General features: G+C 43.5%; 1 protein-coding gene across 2 annotated transcripts in view, besides 3 other annotated features; it reads right to left on the bottom strand.

The window, feature by feature from the left end:
* Positions 1-19,506, bottom strand: part of PAPPA (pappalysin 1) — a 248,531-nt gene extending 229,025 nt beyond the window's left edge. For both annotated transcript variants that reach the window (NM_002581.5, XM_017014784.3), the window contains exon 1: positions 18,710-19,506. In NM_002581.5, coding sequence (NP_002572.2) covers positions 18,710-19,124 — 415 coding nt within the window. In that variant the 5' untranslated portion in view covers positions 19,125-19,506. The remainder of the gene's footprint in view (positions 1-18,709) is intronic.
* Positions 15,778-16,277: an enhancer, noted in NCBI's record as "H3K4me1 hESC enhancer chr9:118919299-118919798 (GRCh37/hg19 assembly coordinates)". NCBI's record gives its function as "activates a minimal SCP1, AML or CMV promoter by ChIP-STARR-seq in primed H9 embryonic stem cells {active_cell/tissue: H9 hESC(primed)}" and the evidence as "EXISTENCE:reporter gene assay evidence [ECO:0000049][PMID:30033119]".
* Positions 16,278-16,779: an enhancer, noted in NCBI's record as "H3K4me1 hESC enhancer chr9:118918797-118919298 (GRCh37/hg19 assembly coordinates)". NCBI's record gives its function as "activates a minimal SCP1, AML or CMV promoter by ChIP-STARR-seq in primed H9 embryonic stem cells {active_cell/tissue: H9 hESC(primed)}" and the evidence as "EXISTENCE:reporter gene assay evidence [ECO:0000049][PMID:30033119]".
* Positions 17,640-17,729: a silencer, noted in NCBI's record as "silent region_20219". NCBI's record gives its function as "represses an Ori minimal core promoter by ATAC-STARR-seq in GM12878 lymphoblastoid cells {active_cell/tissue: GM12878}" and the evidence as "EXISTENCE:reporter gene assay evidence [ECO:0000049][PMID:35858748]".
* Positions 19,507-22,290: the final 2,784 nt, after the last annotated feature.

Here is a 22,290-nt window from a genome sequence, read left to right as displayed (position 1 = left end):
AGAGAGGTTTGATACACTACTAAATTTCTATTGTTTTGACATCTGTTAGAAAATCATAAATTATAAATAACTCAACTCAAAAAACGCTTTAAGGCTCTAAATGGATAAATAGGGTTTAGATGCTCTTTGGGGCTTCATAATTTAAATTTTGTTGCACTAGGTAGAGGATGATTAGTTCAGCCTTGATCCTGGTCTCTAGCTGACCTTGAGAAAATGTCATCTACCTTTTGTCTCTTGGTTTCCCCATCTATTCAACTGAAGGAGGATGGAGAGTTGATCTTCAGATCCCTTTATTTCCCTGAGAGTCTATCTCATAAACTCCTTGAAAGAAAGGGATTTTATCTCCTTTGACTTCATATCCTCAGTGATTAGCTTGAGATCTGATACATGGTAGACTCTGTAAAACATCGTGGAATGCATAGTACAAACTAAATTTTAAACTCAAGACTCCAGGGATCTTTAAGGGACTTTAAATCAAAAGTTTGGAAGTGGTGACCATTTTTTAAACAAAAAAGGCATAGAAACAAGCAGATCAGTAACCAGACAGGTTAGTATTTCCTCTGGCTGTAAAAGATGCTGAGGAACTGAAAGACTATGAAACAGAGAAGATTGATGAGGAGGAGGCCAAGAACACTGTAAGCTCAAGAGGGGAAAACAAATGTGAAAAAGCATAGAGGGAGAAATATGTGTTTTAGGAGTATCAGGTAATTCAGTTTAATCAGAAGAATCCATGTAAGTCAGTGGTTCTCAGTCAGTAGATTTTGCTCACAGGGAACATTTGGCAATGTCTACAGACGTTTTTGATCATCACACTGGGGAGGAGGTTGTGGCTACTGTGTCTAGTACATAGAGGCCAGGGATGCTGTCAAACTCCACAACAAGGAATTATGCATTCCAAAATGTTAATAGTGGTGAGGTTTAGCATCCCTGGTGGAAGCAACGAGGGAAAGTTACAGTAGTAAACAATGCTTAGGGAGGAAGGTGAATGTGAGGCTACAGAATTTAGAACCAGTCTAGAGAATCTAGAGAGGTTTATGGTGGAGGGGTTAGAATATGCACTCTGAAGATTGCTTCTACCACTGACTTGTGTGGACCTTGGGAAATTCACTTAACATTCCTCATCTTTCATCTGGAAAATTGCAGTAATAATAGTACCCACCTCAGAGGGTCATGGTGAGGATTAAAGAGTTAACATATGCAAAATTTTATGAACAGTGCCCGACACATATTATGCATTAAATATATTAGCTGTTATGCATAGGTAATAGGGAGCTAGAGTAGACTCAACTTCCAGAGAGCAGCAATAGCAGCTCCTCAGTCGATGAAACCTTAGAAAAAGGCTTAGAGCTGCATGATTATCATGTGACTATTATATCCACCCAATTAATAATCCTTCTTCAATCAGCTTCTGCTTCAGATAACACTGCAGGCGGATGTGTTTGGGTTTGTCTTGCTGTCTGCAAGCAACTCCCTGTCTGGGCTTTGTCTCCTAGATATCCATAATGCCCAGGCCAGCATCTGACTGCCTCTCCAGTTCAGCCTCCCCATGGTTTCAATGAATAAGGGGAAGGAGACAGAGAAAGTCAGACATGAGGACAGACGGAAGGATGGAAAGGCAGGAAGCCTTCCATGAAAGCTGCTGCCAGTGATACCCACTGTTCACAGGGATTCCAAGTATAGAATCAGAGGCATGTTTCAGAGGCTTGTTTGAGCTACTGATACTGTTCTTTTGGAACACTTGTTTGTAAACAGATATTTCTGCTAACACTGGGCTTTGTAAGGGTGGACAGAGTGGTGGGGGGGTTGAAAGTGGGGGTTGGAGAAAAAGGCAGGTTGTGTCCTAGAGCCTTGGACCATGTGTTTGTTGTTGAGAATACAAAGACCTCACTGTATTAAATGAAAATGCTTGTTTTACAAGGCGAGTGGGAATATGATAGGTAGATGTCGAAAATGCTTTGGAAACTGAAACAACCCCATGCCACAAGGGCATTCTGCTACATCATACATCCAGAGGCATACACAGAATGTGAAGGCTCAGCATCACTAAACAAGGGCTTTGGGAGGCTGTGGGAAAAAAGAGTCCCAGAGGCTAAGTGACTAGCAGCTCCCTTCTCTGGTCTCACCTAAGCCTGCCCTTTCCCAAAGAAAGGCTTCCATTTCAAACTTCCTATTGTTTTTCCAGTACCTGCTAACCTAAGGGTAGAAACTGTTATTGATCTAAAATATTACTGTTGATAAAGGAGCCTCTGGTAGTCTAGATCCAGACTCAGAGCACTACCAGGAATATTTATATGATAGAACTATGCAGGCAGAACACTTTAACTTTTCAAATTAGTTTTCAATGAGTGGTTTTCACACTCTACTATGTGGAAGCATAAGGTTCAGTGAAGATGTCTCAGGGGATTTTTTTTTTTTTAAGAACTCACAGCGGCATAAAAACAAGAATTGGAACCTCCTAACTCTTCCTCCAGTCCTAGCACAAAGCCTGGTAAATGGAAGATTACATTTATCCAAGAATGGAAGGATGGATGGACAGATGAATGGATGGATGGATAGATGGATGGATAGCAGAAAAGAAGGGTGGATGGATTAGGGAATGAATGGGGATGAAAGGGGATGGATTGATGGAAGGGTGGATGGAAGGAAAGAAGGAAGAGAGGGAGGGAGTGGGGGGAGATAAGGGGGTAGGGAGGAAGGAAGAAAGGGAGGGAAGGAGAGTTAATAGATGGGTAATGGATGGAAGAGTAGATTGATGGAAGGGTGGATAGGTGGCTGGATTTGTGGCTTCATGGTCAAAGTCCACAGTGAATACTTATGGGCAGGACCACTTCAGACCACATTTGAAGTGTACTTGCCTATTTAAAAACTCAGAGAAACTCAGAAAGCAGAGTTTGAATAAACAAAGTTGTAGATTATATTTCTAAGAAATAAACTAATTCTTCCTCAGAGGAAAAAAAGGTCCAAATTCTATTTACTCCAACAAGGGTACAGATGAAGGAAAGTGCAATTGCTCAGTCTGATATGACAACTCAACATCAACATTCTCATTATCACAGATCCCCTATAGTGTTCATATTTTAGAGCTGGGAACAAGCTTCAGGAAATGACCTGGTATGCCCCCAGTTTTTCAGCATGTAAGTCACCATTTGGGGGACATATATCCCTTTAAGCAACTAAGAAGAACTTTGACTCCAGAAAAATATGCACAACCTCAAATTTTTACAGAAAATGTCTTGGGGTTTACAAATCAAGTACTTCTGAACCCAAGTGCAAAAACTCCCCTATCCTCGTTGATCTAAAATAGGAGTGCTATTCTGGTATTTCACTTGGTACTCGTATTCATAAGGAAATAAATGATAATTATATTAACCAAAATACTAAGTCATAACATCAGCAATCGATCATGATGCTGTTGTAACTGAGACCCCACTCTTGGCCTCATGCAATCCATTCTACACATAGTAGTCAGAGTGATCTTTGGAAACCATAAACCAGATCCAGTAACTCCATTGTTTGAAGCTCTCTGATAACTTCCTGGCACACTAGATAAAAAAAAAAAATCTAGTGTGCCATCCTCATCCTCTTATATTCTAGGTGAAGATTGCAGGAGGAGCATGGACACATCCCTTACAATTCCACCTAGCTCTTAGCAGCTCTTTCTAAGAATAGTTTGGAGAGGTTAGGTGCGGTGGCTCATGCTTGTAATCCCAGCACTTTGGGAGGCCAAGGTGGGCGGATCACCTGAGGTCAGGAGTTTGAGACCAGCCTGGCCAACATGATGAAGCCCTGTCTCTAATAAAAATACAAAAATTAGCTGGGCGTGGTGGCAGGTGCCTGTAATGCCAGCTACTCGGGAGGCTGAGGCAGGAGAATTGCTTGACCTCGGGAGGTGGAGGTTGCAGTAAGCCAAGATTGTGCCACTGCACTCCAGCCTGAGTGACAGAGTGAGACTCCATCTCAAAAAAAAAAAAAAAAAAAAAAAAAAAGAATGGGTTTGGAGAGGCCGAAGGACAGCCACATGGAAGGGACTTAAAGCTGGCATAGATGGTATACTGGTTCACTGGAAAGAAAGAGAGGAAGAGAGATAGGGAAAGATGATAAGCATATACATTTCAATAGGTAACTGGTTAGCTCAGAGAGACCAGGGCCATATCTCACAGTCAATGCCACTCACAATGTGTCTGCCTTCACTCTTTGGTCTTTCTAAGGCCTATGCTATTAATTCTCAAAGCACCTTTTCTTCACAGCACTCACATTCAATCACCTTATGTTATTCCTTATTTGGAGCCATCTCTAATCTGTTCGTTCATTTAACATTGTTTAGCCAGCCCTCACCGACATGACTAGTATTGTGCGAAGTAAAAGGAATAATGCAAAGATGAAGACCAAAATGGTCTCTGCTCCAAGGAGCTCAGAGACAATTGGGGAGAAACAGACAGATACCAAGGAAATCACAATAGAGTGTGATAAATGCTATGAGGAGGGAAGATAAGGAGTTGCATTGGCTTGATGCAGATGGTGATGGATATTGAATTGTCCAATAATTTCCTAACACCATACTCCTAAAAGATACTCTGGGTAAGTATCTACAGCTGAGGCATGAATCCAGAAGTGTTGATTGTTCTCATTTGATTTATGGCTATATGTTTAAAATTACATACATGACTATACCCCCACACAAGGCAGAGCACACACTCTACATACATACACATTCACTTCATGAACAAGTCCCCAATCCTTCCAGGTGGAAAAGATCACTTATGCCTTTGAAATTTCAGAGCACTTTTTCACTCTCATGATAAACATGGGTGTTTCATAACATAGTGTTTCTGCTCTGTGCTTCCCCAGGACTCTGTTAATTGCTTAGTTATAGCAGTTACCATGATGTCATCTATCTGTTTACCAGTCTGCTTCCACCACTAGGACTGGGAGTTCCTCAAGGCATGGAACTATGCCTTGTTCTTCTTTTTAATTCTTATCTCCTAACTCAATGTATAATATATAAAAATTGCTGAATAACTACATATGAAATAGAAGGGTGAATGGTTAGAAAGAAGGAAGAAATGAAGGAACATTTACCTTTCCTAATAAACTTTCATTTCTCATTGAATCTTAAAGAATGTCTAGGACAGCAGATTGGCACATAAGAAGTTCTTTAAAAAAGTTATTAAACAGCTGTATGATGCTTTCTAGTAATCTTACTAATATAAACCCATAGTTATAACTATCACCCCACACTGTAAAGGAAAATAAAGTGACCCAGTGGAAAGAGCACTGATGTGGAAGTCAACAGATCTAAATTTTAGTTTCAATTTTACTGCCAATTTGCTGCTTAACCTTACTCACTTAGCTTAGCTTAATTTAGCAGGTAAACATCCATGGATCTCAGTTTCTCAGTCAGTAAACTGAGCAGATTTGATAAGGCAGTTTCTGTTACTCCAGCTTTAGAATTTGGGAAAGGGAAGGTCAAGATATTGCATTTGTTTTTAGCAGATTAAATCAGCCTTTTGAGGGGCTTTTCTGTAAAGGGGTCATCCTGAGAGCTTAATATTGGCTCTATCAAGGCTTAATCAGCTCTGATGATAGTCACCCAAAAATCAGCCTTGTTACTCCAGAGTCACTGTTCTATTCAAAACCCCATATTCACTCAGCATGGTCACCCACATAATTCCAAGATTTGCCTGAGAATGCATCAGGGCCCCTCATCAGAGGATGACAAGGAGGCTCCATTGAGCATATCTGGGGAAACATGTCCCAGGCACTGATTCTCAAAACAAGAATCCAAAAACATTTTTGGCAAACAGAGTATCTTTGAAATAAGTGCACAATTGGTCCTCCTTATCTGTAGCCTCTGCATCTGTGGATTCAACCAAATTCAGATTGAAAATATTTCAGAATAAATTAAAATATAATACTTAATAAAAATAATACAAATAAAACAATACCACATTACAACTATTTGTATAGCATTAACATTGGATTATGTATTATAAATAACCAAGAAATGATTCAAAGTATATGAGAGGATGTGTGTGGGTTATTCACAAACACTATGCCATTTTATGTTGGGGACTTGAGCAACCTCAGATTTTGGCATTGAGGGAGTTGGTCCTCGAACCAATCCCCTGTGGACACTGAGGGACAACTGTATATCTCCTAAAGGACTAGTTAAAGGTGGGAAATGCTCTAATGGATGTAAAATGTCTTTATGTTTGAAAATCACCTGCAAATAAAATATACTTTGCATATCTGAGATTTCTTAGCCAATCTTTTTGAAATCTTATAATGTTCATTCAGATTTTTCCTCTATTTCTTCCTCTATCCCTCCCTCTCTTCCTTCTTTACCTTTCCATTCTACATTCTTCAAATGTTTGCATTAGCCACTGGGGGGCACCACCATTCATTCATTCAGTCATTCATATATTCATTCTCTCATGGTACATTTACAGAGTAATTGCGGTGTTCCAAGCAATGTGTCAGGCCTTGAGGATGAAGAGAGATAAAATTAAACTGGTGTGGATGAGAATTCCAGTTTCATCACCCATTAGCAATTGGTACTTCAGGGAGTCATGCAACTTTATAACCCAGTTTCAGAGTGTTCAAAGTGTAGCATTCAGCATAGTGCCAGCACATAGTAAGTGCTTATTATAAGCTAGCTGCTTTCATTACTGTTATTACTGCTGAGAATGTGTCTTCTCTCCTAGGGGTATATAAACAGCGGATAGAGAATTCCAGATCCTGAGGTCATCACAAGGTCTCACAAGATCAAGGAAAATCAAGGAAAGCAGATAGAAAGCCCCATTAACAGAAAGGAGGGAAATGGGTGAAGACTGAAGCAACAGATATGACTGCCAGGACACTTGAGGCTCAGAAGGACACTGATAAGGGGGAGAGAGGGAAATTTGAGAGGCAAGCAAAGCTTAAGATTATGTGCTGCCGTGCACACACAAAACAAATGCTTTGCAAACAGGCACAGGGCTGAGAGGCGAAGACCAAGGCCAAAATATGGCTTGGATTAGAAAGCCCAATGTGAGCTGAGAAGGCCCTTAAATATACTATTCCCCTTCCCCTTCTGTTTTGGAAGGCCAGATTTCTTTTCCCTTCTGACTTCTTTGCTCAGGGGTAAATGGAATTAACCACTGTGTAATGTTTCTGACAGTGATGCACATGCTAGGTCATGTGCTTTGGTTACGTAATGCAACATGCCTAAGGTTCCTGAGCTCTTTCTCCCAGAATCATTAGATATTAAACTGGTTCTCTTATCCAGTTATCCATTTATTAAACAAAAATACATATAGCCCCTTTATAGGTCAGATACTGAGCTAGGCAATAGAGAACTTGAGATGGATAAGATCTCAAATATGTACACAATTAAATGTCATAATTCCAGGTATTTTGATAAAAGTGTGCAGAAAGCATAGTGGGAACAGATGAACAAGGTAGGGAACAAGTTACACTTTGGGGAAGTTATGAAGGGCTTCTCAGAAGAGAGAAAACTCTGGCAAAATCCTGGGAAGGCATAAACATTCTGCAAAATGGTGCACTGGAAATAGAAGATAAGCCAAGTAAAAAAAGTGATAATTAAAGAACCAGGTGCATTTGGGGGAATTTCAAATAATTCAGATTTTATTGAAGAGCTTTCAGCTAGAGGTGACAGAGTCAGATTTGCATTCTGGACAGATGTGACTGTTGGATGTTGGTGGGCAGGTTGAAGGGGGTGCAGGGATTGAATTTCAGAGAAGTGGGCATTATAATACTAAGGAAATAGTCACAGCAAGAAATAAAGAGGATTTAAGGTACAGAGAAGAGAGTTTGTCTATAAACATTATAAGGAAGCAGGAGAGTCAGGAGTTGATGACTGATTGAATATGGTAGATGATGTAATGTAGAGTGGGTGACACCAACCAAGATGAGGATGCAAGGAATTTTGGAGGAAAGATGATTGTTTCGGAAGTGTGGAGTTTGTAGAATGTGCTAACATTTCCAGTAGACAGGTGGATCTGTGAGTCTGGAGCCCAGTGGAGTCTGGACAAATAACTACCATTAGTAGACAGATGGGTAATTAATCTATGGGAAAGGGTGTAAAGTCAGGAGACAAGTGGACCCAGACCTGGCTTAAGACTTTAAAGTATCTACCAATGGAGGATCTACCAATGTAGAAGTAACATTCTAAGTTGTTTGCTTTGTGACACAAAGCTTTTGGGCAGTCATGCAAGAGTATTTACCAGTGGAAGAGTAACATTTTAAGATGTTATCAGTCAATGGTACTCGTCTTTACCCAGCTTGGTCACTGACTTGGATAAGCCACTTTCCTCATCAACCCTCAGTCCCTCATCTATGAAATAAATGGCTTGGATGAGTCCTTGGACTTTGACACACCTTGTTTCTTTGGACTTAAATGAAGTTTACTTCACAAAACTGAGTATCACATTTATCAATGTTTTATGTTTTCTGCCTGGGTGCCTTGCATCTTAAGATTAGCCTATTAACACAGCCTTCTCTCTTCATTCATCAGCCTCTGAGCTGAAAGATCTGCAGTCACACTGGGGAAAATAACCCCCTCCATATAAATGCATTTGGCCACATTCTGCCGAGCCACCTTTCAGATTCATAGAGCAACAGGAATGGATACGGGACAGGCATAGGAATGACTTCTTGATTACAAGGATAATAGGTACAGGTTGGACCACTGGCTTCCTAAACACACAAGGCTATAACAGGTCTCAGCAACTAGTGGTACGCTGCCCCTACTCACATACTTCGATATTCCAAGTTGTTACTGACCAGCTTTTATGTCTTAGCTTCCTCCAAGTGGGTTGGAATCTGAGACCTGACCAGGGTTCTCTACAATCTAAAGTAGAAGAGGGGAACCTCTTATATTCTTCCAAGTTCTGTGGACCCTGGGTTTGTGGCAAATAATACCAAAAAACAAACACATTTTCTTTATCTTGTTTGGAGAAAAATCCAAGTGGTCAAAGCAAATAAGCTGGGTATGAGGAGTAGGAAGAGAGAGAAGAAGGAGGGAGTTGAGAGGAAGCTGGATATACTTCAGAGATGACAGTTCCAGGGATCCTCTGAAGGAAAATAGTCTGGAAAATGATGACAGACTCCAGAGTTTTGGTATTTTAATTCACTGAGTTATCTGATTAAAATGATAAGCAATACTACAAGGCCGGTGGTCTATTCCAAAGTCCAGGAATTTGTCTGGAATGGCCTTTATATCCTAAGAAATTACAAAATATGAACATGCTAGCATTCACCCAGTAAGTGATGACTGGGAGTCACTCAGCAAGTTTTCTGGATATTTGTGGGGGCTAGAATTAGTTATATTATTAATAGGATGGATTCCAGCTATCAGGAAGTACCAATATTCCCCAAATAATGTCTTCAGTCAGTCTTAGAAATTCTACCACTGTTACATTGCTTTGTGACACAAAGCTTTCTGGGAAGTCCTAAAAGAGTATCCACCAATGGAGCAGTAACATTCCAAGTTGTTACCAGTCAATGGTACTTAGCAAGAAGGTGTACCATCTTCTTTTTTCCCCAGTGTTGCTGAGGTGTGGAAGCCGAAAATGTGTCCACACTTGGCCCCTGAGGGTGACAGGCACAGGCACCACCTAGTGGAGGAAAATACACCAGAAAAGGAAGAAAACTGGAACTATTGCCAACTTCACAGTTTTGTCTGAGGACAGCCTTGATGAGGATTATAGAATCCTAGGAAGTGTCTGTAGAAGTGTCTTTAGTGCAAATAATCCCTACAGTACCACAAAGTTCAGATGTGAAAACTGGTTCTGAGAGGGAGAGTGACTTGCCTAAAGTCACACAGCAAACTAGTGCTAGAACTGACATCTCCTAGCTCAAAGCATTGCTCCTCCTTTTGCGATACACCATGGCCTTCTCCAGAGAGCCTCAGGCCTGCTCATAGGTCTCTTCTTCAAAGCTACTCTGATGATGGCCTCCCTTGACCACTCTTTTCATATCCCACTCCTCTCTCCTCCTGCATCCCCACTCCCACACAGCATTCCTAGACTTCCTTCTCAACTTTTTCTTTACAAACATTCACCTGACATTATGGGATATATATGCTTATTCATTTATAGTCTGTCTCCACCTTCTCCCCAACACCCACTGCCCAGAATATAAACTCCCTGAGGGCGGAGATGTTTCTCTCTTTTGTTGACTGGTCTGTCCTCAAGGCCTAAAACTGTACCCAGCACAGAGCAGAAACTCAAAAAATAGTTGTTGCATGCTTGGGCAGGAAATAGACAAATTTTACCTGGTCTCTTGTTCTTTGTCTGCATTTCTGAGATTTTTTTTACAATGAGCATGCACTATTTTTTTTTAAATGACACAATAATGTGTTTATCTTGTTAGCCTTTCATTTTAGTTGTTTAAATTTTTAATTTTTCTATGTTAAGATGACAGCAATAACTCTTTCCTGAGTTGTAAGGGAGGAAAAGGCAATTCCTGGCTTTGCCAAAAGAGATAAGTATGTCTAACTCCTAGAGTTATTGAGATTATTAGAAATAATGCGTGGCAATGGCTGGCACACATAATACTGATATGAGTTAACGTTTGCTGGGTTACCGCATGGTCTAGATTCCATTACTAAGCATTTTCCACATGGAGGCCCAGTTAATCTTCAAAACAACCCTATGAAGTAACAGCTAGTATTATCTGCACTTTACAGAGGGGAAAAGTGAAGCTTGGAGATACTAAGTAACTTGCCCAAGGTCACACAACCAGCAGGTGCAATAGTCAGGGTTTGACCAGGCAGTTTGATTCCTGAGTCCTGTGATCAACCATTGCAAAATACTTCCTCAGTAAACATATGCTCCTGCAGGTCACTGCCCCAGGCCTCTAGAAGGCTCTAGAATTGCTCTCCAGGTAGTTAGGGATGGAGAGAAATAAGGAACCAGAAAAACGAGAACTAAGGGTATGTGGACCTGTGAGTATATGAGTATGTGTGTGTGTATCGTCACAATACTTCTGGGCCTGTCACAATCACTAACAGATCCCATGAAATTCTCATAAACAGGGCCAAAGATGCTAAACATTTCACAATATGTAGGGCAGTCCCATACAGCAAATAATTTTCTCACTCAAAAGCTTCTTATTGCAGAGCAAGCCTCCACTTGCCCCTTCTCCATGCTCCTCCTAAGGCTCCCCTCATCACTTTTATTCCCCTCGAGTTCTCCCTGGATAATCATTTTCACTTGAGTTTGCAAGTGTACAGAGAGGAGGGGATGGGGAGCTCCTCAGATCTGAAGCCTGGGCTGTGTCACGACTTTCAGCTAATCTTTGTGCGACCTTGGGGGAGTCCCTAACCCTCTCTAAACGGTGGTCTCCGTATTTGCAAACCTTTCAGGTCACAGAACACGCAGGGAACTGAGACTTCACTTCCTCCTGTGGCTCTCAAACACTTTTAGTATTTTTAACTTTTTATTATGGAAATCTTCAATCACACACCACAGCATGAACAAAAATGTATTAAAGCTCCAAGGTTTAATCACTTGGTTTCAACAATTGTTATCAGTTTGCTAATCTCTCACCAACCACTACCCCCAGAACCTTTTTTTTTTTTTTTCTGGAGCTTTTTAAACAAATAAACAAACAAAATAGACAAAACATAATTTTACCCACAAGTACTTCAGTATGCATTTCTAACAAATTAGGATCTTTAAAAAAACATAACAACAATATCATATCACACCTATCAAGATTAACAATAACTCCTCAATGTCAGTCCATATCCATTTAAACTCTTTGTAATGGAGGAACATATTCCTTTAAACATAAGCTTGTAGAATCACACAATTTAAGTGGAATAAGGTGAAGGGAAGGAGAGAGGCAGAGTCCTGCCCTTCACCCTTGTCCCAGAAGTTTGAAAAGTTTGAAAGTCGCTATTTTACCCCTGACAGTTTGAAAGTCGCTATTTTACCCCTGACCCTCCTTTTGCATCCTGAGAACACTGAGGTCCAGAGAGAAGCGGTAAATGGTCAAGGTCATAAAGCAGTAAGTGGCAGGATTTGGCAGACTTATGAAGTCCCAACATCAAAGAACTCCAGTGAGGTCACAGGCATGAAAAGGTTTGCTAACTCCATCACTGTTTATCATCTACAGTGTGAATGATCATAATAAAAGCACCTTTCCAGGAATGACCTTGATTGCACTAATCCCTCACATCTCTCACTTTCTAGCTCCTCCTAACCATGCTGACCCGTGCACTGTGGTCTGACCTCAGCCAACGGCTTCTCCCGGCATTGTCTCACCTGGTCCCATGACAGCCCATGAGATGGGGACATTGAGAGTAACCATCCCCCAAACCCTCTCCCCTGAGGCCCCAGTGGTTAAGTCAGAGACCACAGGTCACACAGCTTAGAGGAAGCCAAACCAGGACCTGAACGCTGACCTCCTAATTCCCACTTACAGATCTTCAAACAAGCCAAGGAACTTACAAGTCGGTTCTCAGCTGCTGATGTCAGAATCACAGTTGAGCATTTCCAGTAACTGCACCAAGGCAAGAAGCAGAGCTCTTACTGCAGTAAGAAGAAAGTTAGGAGAACCTTAGGGAAAGGGAACTAAGTTCTAGAGAAGGGGCAGCTGGTGCGGAGAGAAATAGATACCTACTGGATTCCCGAGCCCTCAGCCACAGGTAGATAAGATACAAGTTGCCCATAGAGGGAGTCCTCTAGTACCTGGAGATTTTCTCTTCTCCTCATTGGAGACACCTGCAGCCAGTGCTGGTTTCAGAGGGATCTCAAGGTGAGGGGTTTTGAAGTAATAGGAACACACATCTTTCTAAAGGACTAGCCCAGGGCAAAGTGAATGGTGAATGCCTTAGAGCTGAGCTTCCCTTTCTTATAATCCTTCCTGTTCAAAGAGGCTTCTCTCTCCAAAACTCCGAGAGATTCATTTGACATCAGGTGCCTCCTGTAAAGATGGGGACCACCATGGTTCCACACAGGAATGGCACTGGAAAAAATGAAATGTCAGGACCTGTGGCACCCAGGGGTTTGGAGTGAACAGAGGAAGTCAGCATGGAAGAGGGGTCCTTCAGAGCTGGGGCACCGGAACTTCCCCAAATGCTTAGCTACTACCCAGCTCAGTAAGCAGGGAACATCGTTTACCCTTTGGGCCTCTGCAGAACAAGAGGATGTCAGACTACATCAGTAATTATTTTCACTAGTGGTCCTTCAACATTACCTGAGAAGGCTTTGGGAAACACCCGTTCCCAGGCCAACCCCAGACCCACAACATCAGAATCCTTGGGGTGCAGCCTGGGCAGAAGGATGTTTTAAAAGCTGGTTATTCCAGGTGCAGCCAGGAATGGGAAGTGCTGGACCAAATGATCTCTCAGACCATTTAGAGGGGATCATCTGTGAATACAGTTTAATTTTGTGTGACCCTGGTCCTCAACTTTCCTGTTGCACAGTGAGCTGTTTGACCCAGATGATCACTGAGTTCATGTCCAGGCTGGCCATACACAACCCACACTCCCGAGTTCCATATCTCTGGACCTTGATTTTGCCTTCCTCTGTGCAGGGAAAAATGGGAGGTGCTTTCCCAGGTTTCACAGCCTTTATCACTTCTACTTGTTCACTGAGTGGCAGCTCAACGGAAGGTGAGAGTTTGAGGAGCACCTGGGGAAGGAGCAAGAGGCCGACAGTAGATCTGTGTGGCTTCCTTTTCTGGAGGTGCTTGCTCTCTCTGAATGCTAACTTGTTTTCCTGTTTAAAGGTCCCAGTGGTTCTGGGCCTCCTTTGGCTCTTATTACAGAGGGGTAATCCTAGCATGTCAAAGAGGAGAAGATCAAATTGAAAGAAAGGTATTTGAAGGAGTCTAATTGTTCCCCAAGATACATTATCTACTCTAGAGAGACTCCCCAGCAACTCAAGAGGGGAAGCCTTACAAACAGGCCCCACTTTTTGAAAGCCAAAGCCGCAAACTGGAAAAAGAGATGCAGCTACTTCCTAGATCCGGCTACCCTTGACTGAGTCTCTAATACAAGTTGACACTGCACTGGGTACTTTTTGCATGTTTATTTCATTGAACTATCCTGATGTCATTATGCCCACTTTACAGATAAGTAAACCAAGGAAGAGATGGATGAAGTGACTTGACTCAAATTACACAGCATGTAAGAGAAATTCCAAGCCTGTCTGTCTGATAATTTGATGTGAAAAGAAAAACAGATCTGCCAGGTCTCATGCAGGGCTTCAGTTGAGATTTATATCCATTTCTCACCCTCTTCGATCTGTAGGTATATGGTTGACACATAGAGATGCAGAAAGGAATGGAAATGTTCCACAGAAAGGTTAAGGAAGAGCATGTGAATAATTTCTTCTCTCTCCAAAAAGACTGCTGACAGAGGAAACGAGGACTTGGGTTCACATCTAGGCTCTCTCCACTGAGAACCTGTGGGACTTTAGACCAAGTCATTTCAACTCTCTGAAACTCAGATTTCTCTTTTGTGAAGTACAGGCGACGATACACACTTCTCAGGGTAGTTGTGAAGGCAAAACATGCTGGCACAAGGAAAGTGCCCAGCATCACCAAGGAAGCACCCAGGTAGAGTTGGATTTCTTCATACCTTCAAGTGTTCCCCAGTCCAGAAAGCCAAGACTGAGATATTTGGAAAATCATGTCTAATAAGAATGAAGTTTGTTGAGCACCTACTACATACCAAGTCCAGTTTTAAGTACCTTCCATGTCCAAGTTCTGTTAGCATTTACACAGCTCTATGATACAGGTACTTGTGCCATCATCACTCTGTACATGAGGAAGGTGAATGAAGTCCAGAGAAGTCAACTAGCTTGCTTGCCCAAGGTCACACAGTTAGTTAGGGGCAGAGATTCCACATAGGTAACCTGGCTACTAAAACTGAGTTCTAACTATTACAATATTCTAGATCCCAGGTAGGACTACAGATACTGGGGAAAAGCCTTGTTAATATATGGACTCCTAGCCATATACTTAAACCCAGCCTTCACTGTTACAGCAATGCTGAAGTGGAGAAAATGTGGGTACTCTTTTTTGAGGGTTGGGTGGATACTAGGAAGTGGGGGTGCAGAAGGGAAGGAAAAAAAGATTCTTGGGAGTAACCAGCACACTTAATCCAGTCCAACCATTAGAACAAAAGAAAAAAGGCTGGCAAGCAGAGGTGCTGGATGGGATTCAGGTAAATCCTTTTCTCCTTCTGAGCAGGAATTCCGAATCACTAAGGCAAGGGGAGTGGGACAGGGGTGGGAGGAGGGCAGTACTTGTGGGGTCCACATTTCACTTATCTAACAGGTCAGGAGAAACTTTAACAAGATTAACTGCTGCTCAAGGCCTCTGCTCGATGGAGCAAATTGAGTCTTTTGTTTTCCTTTTCTTTCAAACTGGAGGGGTGTTGGGGGGGCAGTTGGGGATGAGGAACAGGGGTCTGGTTCCTCCTGCCTGGTGTGGTACAAAAGCAAAGGGATGTGTCAGAAACAACCCCTCATCCCCTGACTTGAAAGGGAGCCCAAATTGCTATGCATGAAGGCTGAAGGCTGTGTGTGGGTGGTGGGTCCGTGTGGGGTGAGAGGTGATGGTGTTTATGAGACACATTCTCTCAGCGGTGCAGGGGGCAAGGCCTGGAAGTCAGATGCCAGGGATTAAATCCTAGTTCCTGCCGCTGAGGAGCTGTGTCATCCAGCACACACCCCTCCCCTCTCTGTGTGTCTCTCTCCCCATTCGGCCAAAAGGGAAACTGGCTTGGGTAACCTCTGAGGACCCTTTTCACAGCAGCCTTAAAGGATTCTTCAATCCTAAAGACCATCCACTGGTGGACCCTCCAGAGAATCCTACACATAGGCACTTTCTAACTTTGGCTTTGTTTTTGCCTGCATAAGCCTTCCCTTTTTTTATGTATTAGTATATATATTTTTCTCCTTTCCTTTCAGAAAAATAAAAGGCATGTTTTCTGAGCTTCAGAAGCAAACTGCTCCTTCGCTCCTTCCCCCTGTCTCTCCGAGCGCCTGTCTGAACTGGTGTCAGTGAAGTTTGAACCGGGGCAGAAATAGCATCCCGGGCGGATCTGGGAGCATAGCCCGCCTACCAGGAGCGGCAAGGCCTGCCTCTGCCAGACGACAGACCCGGTTAACAGCACCGTAAAATTAGACCTTTACGAAACCCAATTGAATCCTGCAGCAAAGAGTGATGTAAGGCAGCCTGGCCTGACAGCAAGACAGCAACTCTCTGCCTGAAATAGCAGCGCGGTCCCTGCTGAGCGATGACTGCTCTCTCAAGATAGGTGACCAGGGATTCCTAGGAAAGTGGCAACGCCCAGCCAGAGAAAGCCAGCAGAGGTCAGGCAGCAAACTGGGCACCTGAGGTCGCCGCGAGAGGGTGAGCCTTCGCACCCGATCCTTGCTGCCCACCTCGGTCCTGGCTCTCCCAGCCCAAACTTACACGAAGGAGGGAGCTGAAAAAGTACTTCTGCAAAGAACCTCTGTTTGTTTGCTTTTTAATTCAAGGAGAAGCAGGTTCTTTTTAGTCCAACAGCCTGTACCATGTGGAGGATATGCAGAATGAGTCTTTTCTGGCTCAGAGCCAGGTGTTTACACGCCGCCAAATCTGGCTCCAACTCAACTAGGGGAGGGAAAAGAAATCCACCAGAATCCTCAGGGGAAAAGCTCCTGGCTTTCTGGTGCTACACGACAGCAGTGCTTATTTATTTATTTTATTTTTTTCGTTTTGAGAGGAATGTTATTTCTACACATAAAATGGACCAGGCATTTTATACAAGCAATAATAACCTAACGCCCCCCATCCAATTAAAGTATTTTACTGCAACAATCTTTGTGTGAGAGAGTGAATGAGTGCTCAAGAGAATGTGTGTGAAGAGAGGCTCCTTGTCTGAATTATAGACATTTATAAAGCAGTCTCCTGTGGAATCCCAGGTGTTATATATATATATATACATATATATATATACACATATATATATACACACATATATATACATGTATATATATATATACACACACACACACGTATTTATGTAGACACACTTACATAGTTAAAATGCATTCACTACCCTTTCACTGATGATGCCTGCATAACCCTGTGCTCTCCTCTCTCCAGGGAATGCCTTCCAAATCACTGGTACTAGGTAAAGACTAGGAAAAACCAGACCTACAGATTAAAAAAAAAAAAAAATCACCTCCAAGCAGCAGTCTCTTTGCTTTTTCACATGTTTGGAAAGAGAAGTCAACATACTACAGCTCTAAATTATCACCATCGTCATTATTATTATGGATAACGTTTCCTCTGTTCCAAATTAGACCCTCCTCTGGGCAAATAGGGCTTGCGAGTTAAAAGTGAATGAGTTCAGTCTCCTTCTTCTTCCCGGAGGAAAAAAAAAAAGGAAAAATAGCATGCGATGACGTCAGTTGTGGGTTGTTGGGGGGAATCACTGTATCGCTCTCCTTTGATAGCTGGAAAGCGGGGGCTTCGGGAGACGTATTCTTGGGATAGCAGCAGAGTGTGGGTCTCCTAAAGGGGTCTTCATGTCAACTGGATAGTCAGTGCTACATCTGTGAAAGTCCAAGCCATGGAAAGACAGGAAGAAGCAGAACTGCCCGGAGAGCTCACAGCTTTCCCTTCTAAGAAAGTGTGTGTGTGAGGGGGTGGGATCGCAAAACGCCTTCACACGTTTCCTGGCTGCAGTGAAGGGGGAACCCCTACTCTCACTTTAAGACGTCCCAGGACATGGCAAGATTGTTTGTGCAGAAAGGGAATCTCCCAGACAGAAAAGGCAAAACTTTCCTCCTCTCTTCCAGCGCCGCCCCCACCTCCGCTCCCCAGTTTTATTAAAGGCATTTCCACAGATTCATTTAGAGGGGGGAAAATGGATGCTGGAGCATTTCTAAGGTTTGCAATCCTCGCAAAGTGTCCGATTTCACTATAGGCTTTGCTGTGGAACAGCGAAGGGGAGAGAGAGGGAGGTTGAGGAGGGAGAACTCAAATTCATTACGGGCTCATAAAGTCCCATATGAGAAAAGCGCCCCGTTTCGCAGCCGCGTCTGGGGAACGCTGGCGGGGTATGCGTTAGGAAGGTCTCGTCCCAGCCCCGAGTGACAGGCAATGGGCTTTAAAAGCTAGGACATGGGATGGCGTGGAGGGGGTGAGGGTGAGTCCCAGAGGCAGGCTTCAATCAGTGAGCAACTTTGGGGCACTTCGAGGACTTCTAAGTCCTGGCCATTACAACAACCTTGCCCTTGCCGGCTTTCAGGGGAATGGGGCCTAATGAAGGGGAGTTACCTCCATTAAAACGTCAAAGAAATCAACGGTCCCCAAGTCTCCTTTCACATGCATCTCAATTGGGTCATCCTCCCTTTCATCCCAAAAGGAGAGAGTGCATCTGACCATTCGGAGCACGGGTTACGTGCCCTAGGCTCCGGGAACCAGCCCTCACTGGCCGAGGGTCCGCGGGGCCGCCAGGAGGGCTCCCCAGGTTCCTCCCAGGGATGGAGCAGCTACGCCTTCCGAGTGTGCCCATTCCACCGATGGAGCAAAGTGAGGCTCTCAGCTCGCCCGGATGTCTCTGCGCCGCTCGCGGGGCAGCTCTCGCACAGACACGCCCGCAAGCCCCCGACCCGCCCGCCACCCGCGCCCAGACACCCGCGAGCCTCTGGGGCCGCAGGGACGGTGCAGCGCCCGCCGAGGCGCCCTCACCTACCTGTGATCACTGCCGGAGACCTCTGGCCCCCCTCCGCTCGCAGCCACACTTGCAGCGTGAACGCGTCCCGGGGCAGCTCGAGGTCGGCCCGGAGGCGCAGCTGCTCGCCTCGCCCGCTGAAATAGAGCGCCCGGCTCGGCGGGCTCGGCTCCTCGGTGGCGCCCCTCGCCTCCCGCTGCTGCCGCCGCCGGGGGACGCGCACGGCTTCCCAGGCACCGCCCGGCGGCGGCGGCGGCGGCGGCGAGGCGCGGCGGCCGCGGGCCGCCCGGGTGGCGCAGGTGGCCGGGCCGGCGGCGGGGCGCGGGGGTCGGCCGGCCCGCGGGTCTCTCCGGGCCCGGCGGGGACGCTCGGCCAGCCCGCAGCCCAGCGCGGCGCTCAGCAGCCCCAGGTGCAGCACCCAACTCCAGAGCCGCATGTCCGACGGTTCCCCCCGCCCCCCCTTCGCCCCTGCACCGCCACCCGGAGCTGCCAGCTTTGGGAGCCTCGGCGCCTCGACTTTCTTCGCTTCTTCACCCTTCTTGGGCGAGCCCCCCTTTCCACTTGCTTTTTTCTTTTCTTTCTCGCTTTCCTCCTCAAGGTGTGTGCTCCACTCTCCCCACCTTTGAAAAATACAGCCCAACTCCTCCTGGTTGGCAATTAATTTCTCTCCCCGCTCCTTTATCTGCCTTATTTTTCCCCTAACAGCTGGTTGCCTTCCTCCTTGTTTTATTTCATTTTATTTTATATGATTTCTCGCTCCAAAAAAAAGCTCCTCTTAAGACTGATCCGCTGAATTCCCTCCCCCCAAAAGATGCTCTAATTTATTTATTTTTTGCGTCCTTTATAACACAAGCCACAGCCCCCTTCTCCCCCCCCAAGTCCCCCCTCCCCTCCCTCCTTCTTCTCAAAATGAAAGGAAAGAGGGGGAAAAAATCCCTCAGAAGATGAGTAAACAAGCGTATGCTAATCTGCTCCCCAGCGCTCCACCTTCCCAATTGAATGAGTCCCTGTTAAAACTGCGGGGATCATGACTAATCAATCAGTTTGGAGAGGCCGAGCTATCCAGCTTTCCTTCACTTTGCCTTTTGCCTCCTTTCCTTCGCTCCCGCTTCTCCACCACCCCCTCCTTTTCTCTCTCTCTCTCTCTCTCTTTTTTTTTTTTTTTTTTTAAGGAGACAATCTTAAAGTAACAATTTAATGAAATTCTGTACACACCCCCTTACGGTCCTCCCAGCTCTCATTCCTGCTCAAAACACACATTCCTGTTTTTGTTTTGTTTTGCTTGCTTTTTTTCCCTCCCTCACTCCCCCCACTTATTATTATTATTTCTGATGGCAGGAGAAAAATCTGTCTCTTCTCTTAGGATCCCCTTTGCACTTTGCTGGTAAACCTCATCCTTTTCTGTAGCACATAAAGAGTCTTGAAACTTGATTCTTAGATTTTTTTTTTTAATTCTCTCTCTCTGTCTCTCCCTCCCTCCCTCTCCCTCTCTTTCTCTTTTTCTCACTCTCTCCCTTACTCTTCTTCCCGCTTCCTCTCCCTTTACCTCTTTCCCTCTTCTTTTCCCTGTCCTTTTCCCTCTCAGAATTTCCTTAAAGTTGTACGATGATGAACCATTCCCCTCTTTTCTGAGCCCCCAGATAAGGCTGGCTTCAGCTAACCCAAATGTTTCCAAAGTTCTTATGGAATCATCAGAAGAAAATAGAAGAAAGGCACTGTCCAGGACATCTGCCTTTCAGAAGCTGTAGTCCTAGTACAACTGGGTCTCTGAATTTCCCCGAATACTCTTTAAAATACTCTGTTGGTCATTAGAAATTATTTTAATTTTATAAGAAGAAAATGAGAGAAAAATATTAATTTGCCTAATGTTTTCAACTTAAGCAATTCAGGTCCTCTGAAATTGTTAAAGTCACAGGTAAGGATCTGACCATTTGCTGCTTTGTAGGTCTGTTTTTGAACTGGGACATACATGTAATATATTTTTTTCTTCTTTTTTCCCCCTCTTTATAGAACTCAAAAGCTCCCCCTTATGGCAAAACAGATCTTCTTTTATTTTGTCCAAGTGTTTAATAAGTCAAAACATGTTAGCAATGGTGGATTACAAGCTATTAATTACCAATCTATTCCAATAAGGTAGTGATAAAAATATTCTGTGTGAAGTTTGCATGTGAATAGCGTGCTGAAAGTCTGCGATAAAATTAACTCCACTAAATTGTAACTTTCTTCTTCAATTGCTCTTATCTTCCGAGCTGCTCCAGATCTTTCTTGAGAGCTAGGAACATTGCTACACGCTTCAGGAAGAGAGAAAACCAAGGAAGAATGTTTGTTGGCAAAAGTATGACGATTTGTCGGATGAGCAAATGACTCAGACATCCCCTCTATGAAAGCTGGAATGCGATATATGCAAAGATTATGGAAGCTTTCTGAAAATGGGAGATCTCAGATTCATACCTTCCTAGTTTAGAAAGAAGTTGCTGAATAGTCTTAGACTAAGAACGTTTGAACTCTGTTTCTGTAGTCATAAAATGAAAATAGCACAATACCCTAAATGTGTTTCCAGAGACTGGCTGGAGGAAAGAAAATCTTGGGTGCACAATGTCATGAATAAAGAATTTGCCTAAGCAAATCTTTGACTTTTTGCAACTCCAAGTCATCTGTAAAAGGTTGCCATTGGATAAAAAGAGAGCTATGTTGAACAACATAAATTGTATCATTCAAAATCCCCCTTCCTCTCCAATAGAGGTTGGACCATGACTACTGATTTACTTCAGTTGTGGCAATTAGGCATTTAGAAACTGCATGTCTTCCAGGGGGATTTTAAGTCATTGTATACAATAATTTTGAATATTCCTAGACAACTGGGAATTATTCAATTCTCAGACCAGCAGTGGGAGCACAAGATTTTTACTTCTCATTTCCTACTCCCTCCAACACATATCAGTTCACTGGCCTTGAGTAAGACACTTCATTTCTCTTCCCTTCCACTTCCTTACCTTTAAAATGGGAATATCTACTTGGCAAATTTATTTTGAGGACAAGATATGCTCTGGGGTATAATCTTTTGTAAACAATAAAAATGATATACGAATACCATTTGTTCTATTGTTGTTGTCAAAGACAAAGTGCTCCTCAGGTTCTTAAAGACAAACAAGAATTGAGGAGGCCAAGTTATTTCTCTCCTGTAGGAGGCAGGAAAACGAAGGGACAACGAAGTTCATGTCTTATGGGTCCTTGAACTCCTTGATCTCCGTCCTCAAATGCACTGGGATCATTTGGCAAGACATTTCACTCATCCATTCATTGAACATACATTTACTATTTGTTTCCATCTGTCTTGGAAGCCATTCTAACTCTTTATGCATATATGTATGTATGTATTTGCTTGTTTTTAATTGAGTGCATAAAATTAGATGAAATTTAATTCTTGGTTCATGACCCACCCTAACCCTTGATCTATGACTGACATTCATATATATATGTATATATAAAAGACCTTCATATATATATATATATATATATATATATATATATACACACACACATATATATATATATATATAAAATGTATCATGTACTGCTATCCCTTTTTTACTACAATACTT

Source organism: Homo sapiens, chromosome 9, assembly GCF_000001405.40.
Source record: "Homo sapiens chromosome 9, GRCh38.p14 Primary Assembly".
Classification (NCBI taxonomy): domain Eukaryota; kingdom Metazoa; phylum Chordata; class Mammalia; order Primates; family Hominidae; genus Homo; species Homo sapiens.
This window is presented reverse-complemented; position numbering and strand designations above follow the sequence as displayed.